This window comes from Homo sapiens, chromosome 22 (genome assembly GCF_000001405.40).
Source record: "Homo sapiens chromosome 22, GRCh38.p14 Primary Assembly".
NCBI lineage: Eukaryota > Metazoa > Chordata > Mammalia > Primates > Hominidae > Homo > Homo sapiens.
The window spans coordinates 40,753,494-40,772,551 of record NC_000022.11 but is presented as its reverse complement, the minus strand read 5'-3'; the positions used below and the strand labels follow the sequence as shown (position 1 = coordinate 40,772,551).

Sequence of the window (19,058 nt, the reverse complement as noted above, 5' to 3'; positions counted from 1 at the left end):
GCAGGCAGATCGCTTTAGCTCAGGAGTTTGATACTGGCCTGGGCAACATAGTGAGACCCCGTCTCTACACAAATAAAAAATTAGCTAGGCATCCTGGTGCCTGCCTGTAGTCCCAGCTACCCAGGAGGCTGAGGTGGAAGGATTGCTTGAACCCAGGAGGTCGAGGCTGCAGTGAGCTGTGATTGTGCCACTGCACTCTAGCCTGAGCAACAGAGTGAGACCTTCTATCAAAAAATAAAATAAAATAAAAGACAAAGAATATGTATAAAGTAAAAAATAAATACTCACTATATCAAGTATTGGGAGGGATGTTGGAGCAACCAGAACTTACTTTCTTATGCTGCTGGTGGGAATATAGAATGGTACAGCTGCTTTGGAAGGCAATTTGGCATTTTCTTTAAAAATTTTTATATACCACACCTATTATAGGACCCAGCCATCCACTTCAGGGTATTTACCCAAGAGAAATGAAGGCATATGTCTACACAAAAGCTTGTATACAAATGTTAATAATGGCTTTGTTTTTTTTTTTTTAATTTTTTAATTTTTGATTTTTGTGGGTACATAGTAGGTATATATTTTTGAGGTATGTGAGATGTTTTGATACAGGCATGCAAAGCATAATAATCACATCATGGAAAATGGGGTATCTATCCTCTCAAACATTTATTCTTTTTGTTACAAACAGTCCTATTATACTCTTTTAGTTATTTTTAAATGTACAATTAAATTATTATTGACTATAGTCACCTGTTGTGCTAGCAAATACTAGGTCTTATTCAAACTATCTATTTTTGTACCTATTAACCATCCCCACCTTCCCCCCGCCACTACTCTTCCCAGTAGTCTCTGGTAACCATCCTTCTACCTTTATCTCCATGAGTTCAATTGTTTTGATTTTTAGGTCCCTCAAATAAGTGAGAACATGCGATATTTGTCTTTCTGTGCCTGGTTTGTTTCACTTAGCAGAATGACCTCCAGTTCCATCCATGTTGTTACAAACAACAAACTCTCATTCTTTTTGATGGCTGAATAGTACTGCATTTTGTATAAGTACCACATTTTCTTTATCCATTTATCTGTTGATGGACATGTAGCTTGCTTCCAAATTTAAGACATTATTTGTAAGAACCAAAAACTAGGGCCTGGCACGGTGGCTCACACCTGTAATCCCAGCACTTTGGGAGGCTGAGGCGGGCAGATCACGAGGTCAGGGGATCGAGACCATCCTGGCTAACATGGTGAAACCCCATCTCCACTAAAAATACAAAAAAAAATTAGCCTGGTGTCGTGGCGGGTGCCTCTAGTCCCAGCTGCTAGGGAGGCTGAGGCAGGAGAATGGCATGAACTCGGGAGGCGGAGCTTGCAGTGAGCCGAGATCGCGCCACTGCACTCCAGCCTGGGCGACAGAGCGAGACTCCGTCTCAAAAAAAGGAAAGTACTTTGACAACAGAAGTCTGTGTTGAAATCTAAAACCTCTATTGCTTGTTCTTATCAAAGTAGCTATCTAGGTAGCATGTTCTCTGATGCAGGAGCTGACTTCTGTTTTTTCAAACCTCTTTCCCTTTAGACGTTTTGGAATAATGGGACTCTACAAAGGCCTTGAAGCCAAACTGCTGCAGACAGTCCTCACTGCTGCTCTCATGTTCCTTGTTTATGAGAAACTGACAGCTGCCACCTTCACAGTTATGGGGCTGAAGCGTGCACACCAACACTGAGACGCCTTCCCATGAAAAATTCCGAAGATGCTCAAGAGGGAGGTTTCCTCCTGAGTGAAGAGAAGTGATTCTCCCTTGACTCTGGCTCCTGCCACCACAAATGTTACCCTCATTGGCTTGAAAAGCATCCAAGGGTGCACAGGGAGTATGGCCAACTGGACCTGTTGTCACCTTAATTGTCATGCTGGCTGGTTGGATTTTGGGGTGGCAGTTGGACTAATGTGAAAAAAACATTGCTGAAAACCTAAAAATGAAAGTTTGTGAGTGTTTATTGGTTTTCTTAAGAGAAATGGACTATTTTGCTCTCATGTGTAATGTTTTCTATTTAAATCTTTCTTAAATATACCAGCTGTTCTCTTTCCCTGAACTCTCCCCCAGGTTCTAGGACAAATTTAATAACATGTAATTCTCCTCAAATACTTTTGTATGTCTCAGTGTTGGTGTTTTCCTCCCTAAAACTAACATTAGGGCTGTGCCACGGGCATGACTTTATTTTTGTTGGGCTTTTTTTTCCCTGCTTAAGGAGAGGTGTCTTTTTTGGATATGAGCTATTTATTTTGTGAAATGAAAATTGTTCACCCAAATGATTCTCTTATAAACTATTTGTAAATGTCACTTATTCATTAGTGTTTGACATAATTTTTAGAATATTTATTTTGAATCAATCCTTTCATTACGAAAGACTTGAAGTTTTGTGTCCATTCTTACAAGCCCTGGTCAGTCAAGTCCCAATAAATGGTCAGCACAAAAAAGATATTCTTGAAAATTGCTCTTTATTAAGGTATTACGTTGAGTTTGCAACCAGATGGGAAAAATCACAAAAATGAGAAGGGGAGCAGATATCTTGTTGAGGTCTGGATATTATCTCCCTTTATAAACTTGGTGTAGGCCGTATATTTTGAAAATAAACATCTGGTTGAGGTTATTTCATTTGGAAACCTTCCTTAGAGTCCTGTTGCTCAGTGTGGTCCATCAGACGGTAGTACTGCCACAAGCTGAGAGCTTGCTGGGCACGCAACCCAGAGTTTCTGAATCCTGTTCCGTATTTTAACATTCCCAGGTGATTCACAGCCACATTAAAGTTCAGGAGACCATAGGACCCCTGACCCATGAGAAGAAGTGATTGGTTTCGATTATAGACATCAAGATAAAGATTTTTCTCAAAGGAAAGAGATTAATGTATTAAAACAACCTCTGAAAAATCTAGGAGTCGTATGTCATCTTTTGCTTTCACCTCACAGCACGTTGTTAAGGTGGTAAGGCTTTTATTATGCGGCCAGGAGTGGATTTAGATATCTCGACCCACTCAGGAAGCAAATTCACTTGACATTAGCAGAGCGGTTCTTTGGATTTCTATGACTTCCTTTTTGTCCCTATGACAAAATGGCGGGTTTTTCATTTGTAAGTCCATGATTTAGTCAGAGAGAGTAATAATGAAATACTTCATTATTAAGGATTTAGTTCAATTTTGAGAGTGGAAATTTCCTTCTCTTATTTCCTCTCTTTAGTCCCTGTGGTAATTTCAAAGTATATGATTGTTAAAGATCATTGCATTGTTCTAGCAAACAAAAATTAGCAGGAGCTAATAATCTGGGAAGAAGACTGAACATTCATCCCCTATTTAAGTCAGAGAATTGAAGACAGAATTGTTTTTTCTATTTTTTAATTTTACTTTAAGGTTTTTGTGTGCCTGTGGCAGACCTTGAGTGGGAAGTACAAAATTATTTTGATTTCTGTATAGGAGAAAAATGATCATAAAGGTGTCATGTGTATTTTCATTATTGTTTTAATTATGCCGTTCCCTTTGGAACTTGAATTTTGAGCTCAGAATATTGTGAGTTGGTCTGTTAGGATAATTTCCAGTTCGAATTATATAGCTGTATTAGGTATTTATGATGTGAGAATGTATTTGATGCTTCTCTTTTTCTGATTTTATGAGGAAACAATTTAACATTGAGGGTTATGTTCCTTATGGAAATTTACAAACTCACTAGTTGAAACTAGTTAGTAACCCACCTAGTTTTATAACCATTGGTTAATAATAAGTTGTTTGAGGAAACTAAAGAGCTGAAGTCTGTACTAGGGAAATGGGAATTTTTTATTTTTGATACTTTGTGCAATTTCTCTAGAATATGAGGATTAAGAACCTTAGGGATTGTATTAGTGTCACAGCAGTAGAAAATGTAATTTCTGTAAGTATTTAATATGTGTTTTGAAGTGGGCACTGTAATATTTCTACCCTTGTCTGTTGTACAGTTAAGTATGAAATGCAGAAATAGATCTAGCATAAGAACATATTCAATGGGAGTTAGAAATCTTGGGTTTTATTCCCAGCTCTGTTGCTGACTAGCATTTTACGCCATCTCTTTGTAATTTGCTGTTTGATAAGTGGAGATAATACTACCCACTTCAGAGGATGTTTGAGAGCTAATGATGTCAGCCAAATCCCTTTATGACTGTGGAATAGGGAAGATCTGAGTGAAACTTTAGACAGTACCTAGATGTATATAGCAATTTCCCTTTTGAAAGCTTATATACTTTCTCATTTTATAATCCTAATATTTCTGTGAAATAGGTAAGGACAAGTAACAATATCCCCATTTAATTGACAAGGAAATTGAGAGAAAACTCTCAAATGACTTGCCGCTTTGGAAGCAGGACTAGAGTTTTAGTTTCCTGCAATCTACTGTAATGATTAAGAGAATGGGTTCTGGAATTAGACCTAGGTGCAAACTTGCCCTACTCCTTACCAGCTGTGGTAACAAAGCAATTACTGAACTTTTATGAAACTTGATTTCCTCAATTATGAAATGGAGGTTTTTTTTTTTGAGATGGAGTTTCGCCCTTGTTGCCCAGGCTAGAGTGCAATGGCACAATCTCGGCTCACCGCAACCTCCGCCTCCCGGGTTCAAGCAATTCTCCTGCCTCAGTCTCCCGAGTAGCTGGGATTACAGGATGCGCCACCATGCCCAGCTAATTTTGTATTTTTAGTAGAGACAGGGTTTCCCTATGTTGGTCAAGCTGGTCTCAAACTCCCAACCTCAGGTGATCCGCCCACCTTGGCCTCCCAAAGTGCTGGGATTATAGGCGTGAGCCACCACGCCTGGCGAAACGGAGATCTTGATAAACCTACCTCATAGGGGGATTGTGAGGATTAAATGAGATCATACACGTAAGTCGCTTAGCCCGGTACTTGCCACATGAGAAGAGCTAGATAAATGTTAGCAACAACTATTATGATATCATTGTTACTGGTTAGGGATATGGCTATTTGAATAGATGTATCTGTGATTTAGTGGAAGGCACTCTGGATTTTGAGCCAGACCTGGTCCCAGTTTTCATTCTGTCACTTTATTAGCATTTGTGGCTACAGACAGATCACTTGACCTTTTTGAGCTTCCAGGTCTTCATCTGTCAAGTAGAAATGATGACCTCTCAATCTTCCCGTTTGTTTTAATTGTGAACGTTTCTTTTTTGGGAGCCTTCCTTTGTTGTATCTTCTCAAAAAAGGAGCCAAATCCAGTAATTTTATATTTTATTTAGTAGTCAAGTTTCCCAAACACTTATCAGTTAATCAGTAAAACATGAACTGGTTTAATGGCAACATCACTGATTGAGCTAGTGACTCACCTTGGCTCTTTTGAAAAGCTAAAGAATGGTGACTTGAGGAGCCAAATGCCACACACCTAAGGAGAGCCCTTCTCTGGGCAAGTGAATTAATTACTTGCCTGGCAGTGTGGAATGTCACCAGAATACCCAACATACACAAAGCCTCATTTGTAGGATATTCATGAGAATAGCACTAAAAGTGGCTGATTGAGGCCAGGCACCAGGGCTCACGCCTGTAATCCCAACACTTTGGGAGGCGAAGGCAGGAGGATCACTTGAGTCCAGGACTTCGAGACCAGCCTGGGCAACATAGTAAGACCCCGTCTCAATTACTTAAAAAAAAAAAAAAATCAGCTGGGCACCACGGCTCATGCCTGTTGTCCTAGCTTCTTGGGAGGCTGAGGTAAGAGGATCGCTTGAGCCCAGGAGGCGGAGGTTGCAGTGAACCATGGTCGCACCACAGCACTCCAGCCTGGGTGACAGAGCAAGAACCTATACCCCGCACCCCCCACCCACCACAAAAAAGTGGCTGATTGAGACCCTGATTGTTTTGTTTTGTTTTGCCTTCATAGGAGCAGTGGGAGGGCTTTTATTACTATATAAATTGAAGGTTAGTGCTGATCTTTCTGGGATATACTTGTTGCCCCTGAAAAGTGTATTCAGTGGGCTTAATGAGCAAGAAAAAAAGTTTTCTAGGGGCTAAGTGGAGAAGAAGGAAAGCTACTATTTAAAGACAGAGTGAAAAAGAAATTAGGAGTTGGTATGAGAGTCAAGGAAAGGGAGAGACCAGTGCCTACCACAACACTCAAAAGAGATGTTCAAAAAATGTGTGGCAAGTACATACTGGACAGTGAACTGTGGGACCCAGCAAATGGATTCAGTCTGTAATGACATTGAAAAGGAAGGAGAACTCTGTTTGAAACTAGTTACAGAGCATGAGAGTGGGTACTGAAACTTCTATACAAGAAATTGAATGCCCACTAAATGCTAGTCACAATTAATTTACATACATCTTTTGTTTTTTTCTTTGAGACAGAGTCTCGCTCTGTCACACAGGCTGGAGTGCAGTGGTGCGATCTCGGCTCACTGCAAGCTCCGCCTCCCGGGTTCAAGCCATTCTCCTGCCTCAGCCTTCTGAGTAGCTGGGACTACAGGTGCCCACCACCACGCCCGGCTAATTTATTTCTATTTTTAGTAGAGATGGGGCTTCACCATGTTAGCCAGTCTCGAACTCCTGGTCTCGAACATCATGGTCTCGAACTCCTGACTTCATGATTCGCCCGCCTCGGCCTCCCAAAGTGCTGGGATTACAGGCTTGAGCCACCGCGCCCGGCCTATGTACATCTTGATATCCTTGTAACAACTCCAGCGTATGGGGTTTATTCCCATTAACAGGTGAAGTAGTTGAAGCTTAAAGGGTAATTTATCTATAGTCACACACCTCATGAATAGGGGTAGGGATTCCTAGTTGAGGCTCTTTTTACCCTGCCATACTACATTCTTCAGATGTCCTTAAAAGTAAGCCATCTAGGCCGGGTGCAGTGGCTCACGCCTGTAATCCCAGCACTTTGGAAGGCCAAGGTGGGTAGATCACCTGAGGTCAGGAGTTCAAGACCAGCCCAACCAACATGGTGAAACCCTGTCTCTACTAAAAATAGAAAAATTAGCGGTGTGGTGGCAGGCGCCTGTAATCCCAGCTACTTGGGAGGCTGAGGCGGGAGGATAGCTTGAACCAAGGAGGCAGAGGCTGCAGTGAGCCGAGATCATGCCACTGCACTCCAGCATGGGTGACAGCAAGACTCCATCCCCCGCAAAAAAAAAGTAACCTTCATTTATTTCTTTAATTAGAAATGTATTTATTTATTTATCTTCATTTATTCTTTAATTGGAGTCACCAAAATGATCTACCCTAAGGGCACTATTGATGTAATTGTGTCACGTGCACCTCATTCTTGTTTTGCTGTGGTTTCTATAGAACCCATTGGCAAATTGGATGGCCAATCCAGCAGGTGGTTCCCTGTGTGGGTGTCATATGGAGGACCTTCTTAAATTGCAAATTCCTATTCTAAGAATAAGGTTATATTCATTTAAGAAATCATTTTTGATTATCTGCCATATCCAAACACTATGCAGATTGCTGGGATTATACAGATGAATAATAGTCTCTGCCCTCATGTATGTCATTGTTCAGCGTGGGAGTCAGACAAAAACAACTTAAAATTGTACCGCTGATGAGTTCTGATGAGAAATGTGCTGTAAATGTTCAGGAGTTGCTTTGAGAGCATGAGGAAGTGGGACCTAACTCTGTATTGAACTGTGGGGCCAGGCGGTGACATTTGAACTAGAAATACACCAAGCAGTGGGTGGAGGACCTCGACAGGAAATAAATAGCATATGCAAAGTAGGAAGAGGATGATACTTTATTATTTGTGCATTGGTTTGAATTAGATCCAGAAGCTTTCCAACCTGGACCTCTGGGTTGAACAAATATTGAAGCGGAGGAGAAGAAACAGCATCAGGTCACAGAGGGCCTTCAACAAGGGAGGAGGGGTGATTAGGACCCCCATTCTACTTAGCAGTTATGTCTACATGTAGACTTGGGAAAGAAGATAAGGTGCTTGTACTCTAAGAATTTAAAATGTAGGCCGGGTGTCATGGCTCATGCCTGTAACCCTAGCACGTTGGGATGCCAAGGCTGGTGGATCACGTGAGCCCAGGAGTTTGAGACCAGCCTGGCCAACATGGCAAAACTCTGCCTCTACAAAAAATACAAAAATTAGCCAGCCATGGTAGTGCACGCCTATAGTCCCAGCTACTTGCGAGGCTGAGGTGGGAGGAACATCTGAACCCAGGAGGCAGAGGTTGCAATGAGCCATGGTCGCACCACCGCACTCCAGCCTGGGCGACAGAACGAGACCCTGTCTCAAAAAAAAAGAAAACAAAAACAAAAAAACCGGCATGGTGGCTCACGCCTGTAATCCCAGCAATTTTGGAGGCCAAGGCTGGGGGATCACTTTAGGCCAGGAGTTTGAGACCAGCCTGGCCAACATGGAGAAACCCCATTTCTACTAAAAATACAAAAACTAGGCAGATTTGGTGGCAGGCACCTGTAATCCCAGCTACTCGGAAGGCTGAGGCAGGAGAATCACTGGAACCCAGGAGGCAGAGGCTGCAGTGAGATCATGCCACTGCACTCCAGCCTGGGTGACAGAGTGAGACTGTCTCAAAAAAAAACAAATTAAATCTAATTTTATTTCATTTATTTTTGTAGAGATAGGGTCTTACTATGTTGCCCAGGCTGGTCTCAAACTCCTGGACTGAAGCAATCCTCCCACTTTGGCCTCCCAAAGTGCTGGGAGTACAGACATGAGCCACCATGCCTGGCTAATTTTAAATGTACTTTAAAAATTAGACATAGGGCTAGGCGACAGAGTGAGACCCTGCCTCAAAAAAAAAAAAAAAATAATAATAATAATGAGACATAGCATTAATTGTTTCATTTTACCTTTATGAAGACTGACCAGGAAGAACAGTTTAGGCTTACTGTGAATTCTTGTTATTATCAAGGTCTGGACTTGGATTTATCTTGATTAATACAGAGATGTTTACTTGGAAACTAGTACAGAGACTAGATGAGGTTTTTTTTTCCCCTCCTAATTTTCATGTGTGTGTGTGTGGTAAAATACACATGGCATACCATCTTAATCTTTTTTTTTTTTTTTTTTGAGCCAGAGTTTCACTCTTGTTGCCCAGGCTGGAGTACAATGGCACGATCTCGGCTCACCGCAACCTCTGCCTCCTAGGTTCAAGCGATTCTCCTACCTCAGCCTCCCCAGTAGCTGGGATTACAAGCATGCGCCACCACACCCGGCTAATTTTGTATTTTTAGTGGAGACGAGGTTTCTCCATGTTGGTCAGGCTGGTCTTGAACTCCCATCCTCAGGTGACCCGCCCACCTCGGCCTCCCAAAGTGATGGGATTACGGGCGTGAGCCACCGCGCCCCGCCCCATCTTAACCATTTTTAAGTGTAGAGTTCAGAAGCATTTAATATATTTGTAATATTGTTCAACCAACAGCACCATTCATCCTAGAACGCTTCATCTTGTAAAACTGAAACTCTAAACCCATTAAACACTAATTCCCCACTCCCCACCTTCCCCTGTCCTCTGGCAGCCACCATTCTCGTTTCTGTCTCTATGATTTTGACTACCGTAAGTACCTCATCTAAGTGGAATCACACAGTAATTGTCTAACTGTGACTGGCTTATTTCACTCAGCATAATGTTCTTGAGGTTCACCTATGTTGTAGCATAGGTCAGAATTTCCTTCCTTTTTGAGGTCGAATAATATTCCATTGTATGTATATATCACATTTTGCTTCTCTATCGACATTTGGGTTGCTTCCACATTTTAGCTATTGTGAATAATGCTGCTGTGCACATGGGTATACAAATATCTCTTTGAAACCTTGCTTTTAATTCTTTTGGATACATACCCAGAAGTAAATTTGCTGGATCATATGGTAATTCTATCTTTAATTTTTTTTTTTATCTGAGACAGAGTCTTGCTCTGTCACCCAGGCTGGAGTGCAATGGCGCGATCTCAGCTCACTGCAGCCTCCACCTCCCTTGTTCCAGCAATTCTCCTGCCTCAGCCTCCCAAGTAGCTGGGATTACAGGTGCCCGCCACCACACCTGGCTAATTTTTGTATTTTTAGTAGAGACAAGGTTTCACCATGTTGGCCAGGCTGGTCTCAAACTCCTGACCTCAGGTGATCCACCCACCTCAGCCTCCCAAAGTGCTGGGATTACAGGCATGAGCCACTGTGCCCAGCTCTATTTTTAATTTTTTGAGGAATCACCGTACTCTTCCATGGCAGCTGCACCATTTTACGCTCCCACCAACAGTGCACAAGGGTTCCAATTTCTCCACATCCTCATCAACGCTTATTATTTTCTGCTTTTTTGATAGTAGCCATCGTAACGGGGTGTGCGGTGGTATCTCATTGTCGTTTTGATTTGCATTTCCCTAATGATTAGTGATAATGAGTATCTCTTCATTTGCTTATTGGCCATTTGTATATCTTCTTTGGGGAAATGTCTATCCAAGTCACTTGCCTACTCCCTAGTGAGCCAACTCAGAATTTAAAAAAAAAAAGTTATTTGCCTGTTTTTGAATCAAGTGTTTTTTTGTTGTTGAGTTTTAGGAATTCTCTATATATTCTAGATATTAATCTCTTATCAGACGTATGATTTGCAAATATTTTCTCCCATTCTGTGGGTTGCCTTTTTACTCTGTTGATAGTGTCTTTTGATGTACGCATTTTTAAATTTTCATGAAGTCCAACCTGTCTGTTTTTTGTTGTTTTTGCCTGCTACTTGGAAAGCTGAGGTGGGAGAATACTGCTTGAACCCAAGAGGTGGAGGTTGCAGTGAGCCGAGATCACGCCATTGCACTCCAGCCTGGGTGACAGTGAGACTCTATCTCAAAAAAAAAAAAAAAAAGAAACTAGTTGAGTTTTTGAGTTCTTTATTTTGCATTTGTTAGTGTATTAAAAATTATAAAAGATTGGGTGCAGTAGCTCATGCCTATAGTCCCAGCACTTTGGGAGGCCAAGGCAGAAGGACCGCCTGAGCCCAGGAGTTTGACCAGCCTAGGCAACATAGCAAGACCTCATCTCTAGAAAAAATTATCTGGGCATGGCGGTGCACACCTGCAATTCCAGCTACTCGGAAGGCTGAGATGGAAGGATTGCTTGAGCCCAGGAGCCAGGAGGTGGAAGCTGCAGTGAGCCATGATCATGTCACCACCCTCCAGCCTGGGTGACAAAGCAAGATACTGCCTCAAAAAAAAAAAATATATATATATATATATATAATATATATATAATATGTATATATAAATTATATACACACATTTATATATAAATGTATTAAATACATATATAAGGATAATATATAAATTATCCTTCACCTTAAGTCTTCACTGTTTTTAGATATATATTTTATATATATTTAATATATGTTATACATGTTAAATATATTTACATATGTTATATATAGTAAATATATATAACATATTTATATTTTAATTTTTTTATTATTATTTTTTTGAGACGGAGTCTCGCTTTGTTGCCCAGGCTGGAGTGCAGTGGCGCTATCTCGGCTCACTGCAAGCTCCGCCTCCTGGGTTCACGCCATTATCCTGCCTCAGCCTCCCGAGTAGCTGGGACTACAGGCACCCGCCACCACGCCTGGCTAATTTTGTGTATTTTTAGTAGAGAGGGGATTTCACCGTGTTAGCCAGGATGGTCTCAATCTCCTGACTTCGTGATCCGCCCGCCTCGGCCTCCCAAAGTGCCGGGATTACAGGTGTAAGCCACCGCGACCGGCCAAATCTCTTTTTTTTTTTTGTTTTTAGGAGACTGCGTCTTGCTTTATTTCCCCGGGCTGAGTACAGTGGCATGGTCATAGCTCACTGCAGCTTCAAACTCCTGGGCTCAAGTGACCCTCCTGCCTCAGTCTCCTGAGAGGCTGGGATTACAGGCTAAATTATTTTATTAACCCCTTGAACCATGGAGTTATGTTAGGCAAAGTGCATCTGTAGAAATGCTTTATTATTATGATGATAGTCATGGAAATCAAAAGGAAATTTTATGGATTATCTTTGTTGATGTTTTCATTCATAAATAAACTCCCATTTGATAGAAAATGGCTGCATTTGTTTTTAACTTTGCAGTTATAGATATGAAGAAAGCTTTAAACCACCAGAGGGCATTGCAGTCAGCTTCTTATTATAAATCATTATAAATCACTGCTGTCAGAGATGCCTAGTGAAATTTGTTCCCAATTAAACCAGAAAAAGAAGCATTTTTAGGCCGGGTGCTGTGGCTCACACCTGTAATCCCAGCACTTTGGGAGGCCAAGGCGGGCGGATCACGAGGAGTTCGAGACCAGCCTGACCAACATGGTGAAACCCCATCTCTACTAAAAATACAAAAATCAGCCAGGCGTGGGGGTTTGTGTCTGTAATCCCAGCTACTCAGGAGGCTGAGACAGGAGAATCGCTTGAACCTGGGAGGCAGAGGTTGCAGTGAGCCAAGATCACACCACTGCACTCCAGCCTGGGCAACAGAACAAGACTCCGTCTCAAAAAAAAAAAAAAAAAAAAAAGGAAGCATTTTTAGATCTCATAAACAATCTGAATAGGAGCTGTGGCTTGAACTTAGTGGAACACTACCTTGAAGCACCTTTTTATATGTATTAAAGCAAAGAGTGGAGTTGGTAGTACTTTGCTGAAATTGTATTGTTTTACTTTTTTCTTTCCCCAAGCGTATGCCCAAACTTTTAATTTGTCATCTATCATTTATCATCTTTTTTGGCCAAAGAATGAAGCCAAGTACCTCTCCATATCAACAGGTATTGAAGTGCGAGACACAAAAGTTACAGTTTTTGGCCAGTAGTATCCACCTCTTTATGGCCTTTATTGGAGCTAACAGAAACCTGCAAAATTAGGCAGCCGGGCACGGTGGCTCACACCTGTGATCCCAGCAATTTGGGAGACCAAGGCAGAGAGATCACTTAAGCTCAGCAGTTCGAGACAAGTCTAGGCAACATGGCAAGACCCTGCCTCTACAAAAAATACAGGCATGGTGGTGTGTGCCTGTGGTCCCAGCTAATTGTGGGGCCGAGGCAGGAGGATTGCTCAAGCCTCAGAGGCCAAGGCTGCAGTGAGCTGAGATTGCACCACTGCACACTCCAGCCTGGGCAACAAAGTGAGACCCTGTCTAAAAAAAAAAAAGAAAAGAAAGAAAAGAAACATACAAAATAGAATGATCCACAGTTTGTTAAAACTCCCTCGTTCCTGTTCACCATTGGTGGAAGTGCCAACAGGCAGAAAAATGATTAAAAGTCAGAGCAGGAGGTAAAAAGCATTTTGACAACCCATGAATTTAAAAATCAAATCCTCACTAAACAAGTGTTGTTAATGTAAACAGGTAAAACGTCTTTCCACATCATCTGTATTTTTTTTTCTTTTGAGACAGTTTCGCTCTTGTTGCTCAGCCTGGAGTGCAATGGCACGGTCTCAGATTACTGCAACGTCTGCCTCCCAGGTTCAAGCAATTCTCCTGCCTCAGCCTCCCAAGTAGTTGGGATTACAGGCACGCGCCGCCACGCCCAGCTAATTTTGTATTTTTTTTTTTAGTAGAGACGGCGGGGTTTCACCAGGTTGGTCAGACTCGTCTCGAACATGTGACCTCAAGTGATCCACCCGCCTTGGCCTCCCAAAGTGCTGGGGTTACAGGCATGAGCCACCACAATTGGCCCATATCATCTGAAATAAATGTGGTAACTATTGAGGCTTCCTGGTTATAGCTGACTAGAGCTCTCATTGGTCTATATTCCAGGAGCATTTGAGATATTAATTTATTTTACGAACACTTACTGAGTACATTTGTGCCAGTGACTGGCTAAAGCTGTAGCATACAGATATAAACACTGATTATTAATCTTTGTATATTTCTTTGTAGTTCATAAAACAATCTGGCATCCACCCTCTTATTTGGTGCTGCAGACCTCTGAGATGCAGTGGGCAGGTGATATCTCCATTTTATAGGTGTGGAGACAGGTTCCAAATTGTTAAATGACTCATTCATAGTCAAACAGCCAGTAACTGACAGAGCAGGACCAAACAGGTCTTCTAATTTCAAATGCCATCCTTTTTTCCACAACAGCATGCTGTCTTCCTAGAAGAGGTAAGCCTATTACTCTCGATACATATTATATGCCAAAGGACCCCAGGTTAAAAATATAGCCACTCGATGGTTGTGATTGTTTAGCTTAACAAGCAACTTAGCAAATAAGTTCAGAAGTTTGCCAGCACTATTTCTCTTTTCTCCAAAGATCAAAGGTAGATTCAGCATACAGTCAATGAAAGAAAATAAATTGGATTCTTTTTTAGTATTTGGTTGACCTTTACTAAGAATCTCTTTCCGCCGAGTGCGGTGGCTCACGCCTGTAATCCCAGCACTGGAGGTCAGGAGTTTGAAAACAATCTGGCCAACACGGTAAAACTCCATCTCTATTAAAAATACAAAAATTGGCCGGGTGTGGTGGCAGGTGCCTGTAGTCCCAGCTACTCAGAAGGCTGAGGCAGGAGAATCGCTTGAACTCAGGAGGCAGAGGTTGCAGTGAGTTGAAATCACGCCACTGCACTCCAGCCTGGGAGACAGAACAAGATGCCATCTCAAAAAAAAAAAAAAAGAATATCTTTCAAGGCTCAGTTCCTGCATCTTTTTCCTTGAGGTATGATTTATGCAGTAACACCCACGTTAAAAAGAGTAGGCCCATCATTTGAATTTCAAGTTTGGGTGAGGATGTCCGTAAGACAAAGGTCTCTGGAATGCTTTTTATTTTATTTTATTTTATTTTGGAGACAGAGTCTTGCTCTGTCACCCAGGCTGGAGTGCAGTGGCATGATTAAAGCTCATTGCAGCCTCAACCACGCAAGCGATTCACTCACCTCAGCCTCCCGAGTAGCTGGTACCACAGGCAAGTGTGACCCTGCCCAGCTAATTTTTTTTTTTTTTTTTGTAGGTGGGGTCTTACACTATATTGACTAGGCTGGGAGGTATGTATGTCTTTGTTAGTTTTTGGAACATAATACTCTGGGTGAAGCTCTGTCAAGCACCTTCAGCATTAAATTGTATTTATTTGTTTACTTACCTACCCGCTCAACCAAGTAGATTCAGAGCTCTGAATCCTCGTTAACATGGCTAAGTACCAGGCATTGCTATGAATATTCTGTAAATATTTGTCCATTGAGTTTATATTGAGGGGGGTGGGCTACAGTGTTGAGAAAGACATGGCTTCCCTAAGATTTAGTGCCTTAGAAATTTCACCATATTAAATACCATATGGTTGATGCACTCCTATCTTAGTCTGACTTGAATGAAGTGTGGGCGTGTCTAGGCAGAAGGAAGCTGAGAAATACATGCATGATCTCAGGAGCTTGTGAGTAGAAAAGGTACTGTGTAATAAAACAAGAATGCTAGCCTCAGTGGCTCACATCTGTAATCCCAGCACTTTGGGAGGCCAAGGCGGGTGGATCACATAAGGCTAGGAGTTCAAGACCAGCCTGGCCAACATGGTGAAACCCCATCTCTACTAAAAATACAAAAATCGCCAGGCGTGGTGGCATGCACCTGTAATCCCAGCTGCTTGGGAGGCTGAGGCACAAGAATCGCTTGAACCCGGGAGGTGGAGGTTTCAGTGAGCTGAGATCACACTACTGCACTCCAGCCTGGGAGACAGTGAGACTCTGTCTCATGAAAAAGGAAAACAAAACAAAACAAAACAGGAATGCTAGCCATGCTAGCCTGGGTAACATGGCAAGACTCCATCTCTACAAAAAATTAAAAAGAAAAATAGCCAGGCATGGTGGCATGTTTCAGCAGTCTGAGCTACTCTGGAGGCTGAGGTGGGAGGATCACTTGAACCTAGGAGTTTGAGGCTGCAGTGAGCTACGATCATGCCACTGCAGTCTGGCCTGGGTGACAGAGCGAGACCCTGTCCCTTAAAAAGACGTCAACAAATAATTTTTGAAGATCTGCCATGTGCCAGCCACTTTGCTAAGCAATAGGGATAAAATGTAAATGAGACAGACAAGATTCTTGTCTTATGGGATTTGCATTAGAATGGAAAGAGACAGACAATAAGCATATAAACCAGTAAAGTGATTTTAGACATACCTAAGAGCTATAAAGAACATAAACTAGGGAGAATTTTTTTTTTTCTTTTTGAGACGGAGTCTCGCTCTGTTGCCCAAGCTGGAGTGCAGTGGCACAATCTAGGCTCTCTGCAAACTCCGCCTCCTGGGTTCAAGCAATTCTTCTGCCTCAGCCTCCCGAGTAGCCAGGATTACAGGCGCCCAACACCATGCCTGGCTAATTTTTTGTATTTTTAGCAGAGACAGGGTTTCGCCATATTAGCCAGGCTGGTCTCAAACTCCTGACCTCAGGCAGTCCACCCACTGCAGCCTTCCAAAGTTCTGGGATTACATGCGTGAGCCACTGTGCCAGCCCCCAAGGCACAGTCTTAAGAGGTCCTAAGAACATGTGCCCAAGGTGGTTGGGTTACAGCTTGATTTTATATGTTTTAGGGAGACATAAGACATCAATCAATACATGTCAGCTGTACATTGGTTTAGCCCGGAAAGGTTGGGGAGGGGAGCTTACAGGTCCTAGGTGGATTCAAAGAGTTTCTGATTGGCAATTTGTTGAAAGAGTTATTATCTTAAGACTCAGAATCGGCCAGAAACAGTGGCTCACACCTGTAATCCCAGCATTTTGGGGGCCAAGAAGGGTGGATCACCTGAGGTCAGGAGTTTGAGACCAGCCTGCCAACATGGTGAAACCCTGTCTCTACTAAAAAAAAAAAAAAAAAAAAAAATTAGCTGGGTGTTGTAATGCATGCCTGTTGTAATCTCTGCTACTTGGGAGGCTGAGGCAGGAGAATTGCTTGAACCTTGGAGGCAGAGGTTGCAATGAGCTGAGATCCTGCCACTGCACTTCAGCCTGGGTGACAGCGACACTCTGCCTCAAAACAAAACAAAACAAAACACCTGGAATCAATAGAAAGGAGTATCTGGGTTTAGATAAGGGGTGGGTTGTGGAGACTAAAGTTCTTACTATATAGATGAAGTCTCACAGGTGGGTGCCCTTAGAGGCAATAGATGGCAAATGTTTCCTGTTTAGATCTCTAAAAGGTGCTAGATTCTGAACCAATCTCTTCAGGATCAGAAAAAGACCTGGAAAGGGGCCAGAATTCTCTAGAGAATGTAAATTTCCCCCACAAGAGACCACTTTGTAGGGTCATTTAGAAATGTCAAAGAAGGCCGGGCATGGTGGCTCATGCCTGTAATCCCAGCACTTTGGGAAGCCAAGGCAGGTGGATCATGAGGTCAGGAGATTTGGCTAACATGGTGAAACCCCATCTCTACTAAAAATACAAAAATTAGCCGGGTGTGGTGGTGGGCGCCTGTAGTCCCAGCTACTTGGGAGGCTGAGGCAGGAGAATGGCATGAACACAGGAGGCAGAGCTTTCAGTGAGCCGAGATCACGCCACTGCACTCCAGCCTGAGCAGCAGAGCGAGACTCCATCACTCTGTCTAAAAAAAAAAGAAATATGTCAAAGAAATATATTTTGGGGGTAAAATACTTTAATATTTTAGGGCCTGCTGGCTGTCATGTGATGCTATACTAGAATCAGGTTGGAATTTGGTATCTTATTGCTACAAAGAGTATGTTTTGTTGGCCTCAAGGTCCCTGTTTTAATGTTAATGCTGGGCAGCTGTGCCTGAATTCCAAGAGGAGAGTATAATGAGGCACGTTCAACACCTTTTTCCTATCATGGCCTGAAATGGTTTTTCAGGTTTACTTTGGAATCCCCTCGGCTGAGAGAAGGGGTCCATTCAGTTAATTGGGGGTCTTAGAATTCTATTTTTGGTTTGCATTAGTGTCACCCAACTAAGACAGTTTATATATTCTATTGCATTATATGTATGTAATTTCTTGTCTTGTTCCTGATCTTCGGGGAAAGCATCCTGTCTTTTGCCTTTGAGCATTAGCTATGGATTTTTCATAGAGTTCTTCCATTGTTTCTTTTTCCCTTTTTCTTTTTTTTTTAGAGACTGAGTCTTGCTTTGTCACCCAGGCTGGAGTGCAGTGACGCGATCTTGGCTCACTGCAGTCTCTGCCTCCTGGGTTCAAGTACCTCTCCTGCTTCAGCCTCCCAAGTAGCTGGGACGCGCCACCATGGCCAGCTAATTTTTGTATTTTTAGTAGAGACTGGGTTTCGCCATGTTGGCCAGGCTGGTCTCGAACTCCTGACCTCAGGTGATCTACCCACCTTGGCCTCCCAAAGTGCTGGGATTACAGGCGTGAGCCACCGTGCCCGGCTCCTGCATTGTTTCACTGCCTGCAAGCAGGCTCGGTAGGACTGAACTCCTACGCTGTACGCAGCACTGAATACGTGGCACTACATAAACAGATTGTTTTCCTAATCATAGTGGCAAGAGAGAAAAATTCCTAGGCAGATAGGGGCAGGTCCCTGGTGAAACCCAACCTTCAAGCCAAAGACAGCTTAAAGCCTGCAAACTGAGCTGCCAGTTCTGGGTAGAGTCCACAACCGGAGTGAGAACTTTCCTTGATGCCTTTTAGCCAATTGAATGGTGCTTTTTCCAGGCCTGCCCATAGACCAATCAGCATGTACGCCCCCATTCTGAGCCCATATAAACCGTGGACTCACCACACATTGGGCTACCCTCTTTCAGGCTCTCCTGTCACACAGGGCTACCCACTTCAGGTCCCCTCTCATTATCGAGAGCTTTTCTGTCACTCAATAACATTCTTCCCTGCCTTGCTCGCTCTCCAGTGTCTGCCTAACCTCATTCTTCTTGGTTGCAGGACAAGAACCTGGAACCCACCAAATGGTGGGTGCGCAAAGAGCTGTAACACTGTAGCTCTCCCTCCTGCTCGCCGAGCAAAGGGGGAGAAAAAGCCACTGTGCACCACATGCCCCCATTCACCAAGCTGCGGGCGACGGGACTGGAGGAGCTGTGACACAAATGAGCTGTAATACGCCCCCCATTCACCGTGCTGCAGGCAGCAGGAATGAGAGAGAGCTGCGTCATTTCTTGGGGACTCAAACCTTGGGACATCCCAGGCAAGA

General features: G+C 42.9%; 1 protein-coding gene across 7 annotated transcripts in view, besides 1 other annotated feature; it reads left to right on the top strand.

Annotated features, from left to right (window-relative positions):
• The window catches only part of SLC25A17 (solute carrier family 25 member 17), a 49,717-nt gene extending 46,795 nt beyond the window's left edge, over positions 1–2,922 (top strand). For all 7 annotated transcript variants that reach the window (NR_104238.2, NR_104237.2, NR_104236.2 and 4 more), the window contains one exon: positions 1,571–2,922. Coding sequence is in view for 3 of the 7 variants with exons in the window: in NM_001282727.2 (NP_001269656.1) it covers positions 1,571–1,718 (148 nt within the window). In the remaining 4 variants the exon portion in view is untranslated. The remainder of the gene's footprint in view (positions 1–1,570) is intronic.
• Positions 7,455–7,554: a silencer, noted in NCBI's record as "silent region_13774". NCBI's record gives its function as "represses an Ori minimal core promoter by ATAC-STARR-seq in GM12878 lymphoblastoid cells {active_cell/tissue: GM12878}" and the evidence as "EXISTENCE:reporter gene assay evidence [ECO:0000049][PMID:35858748]".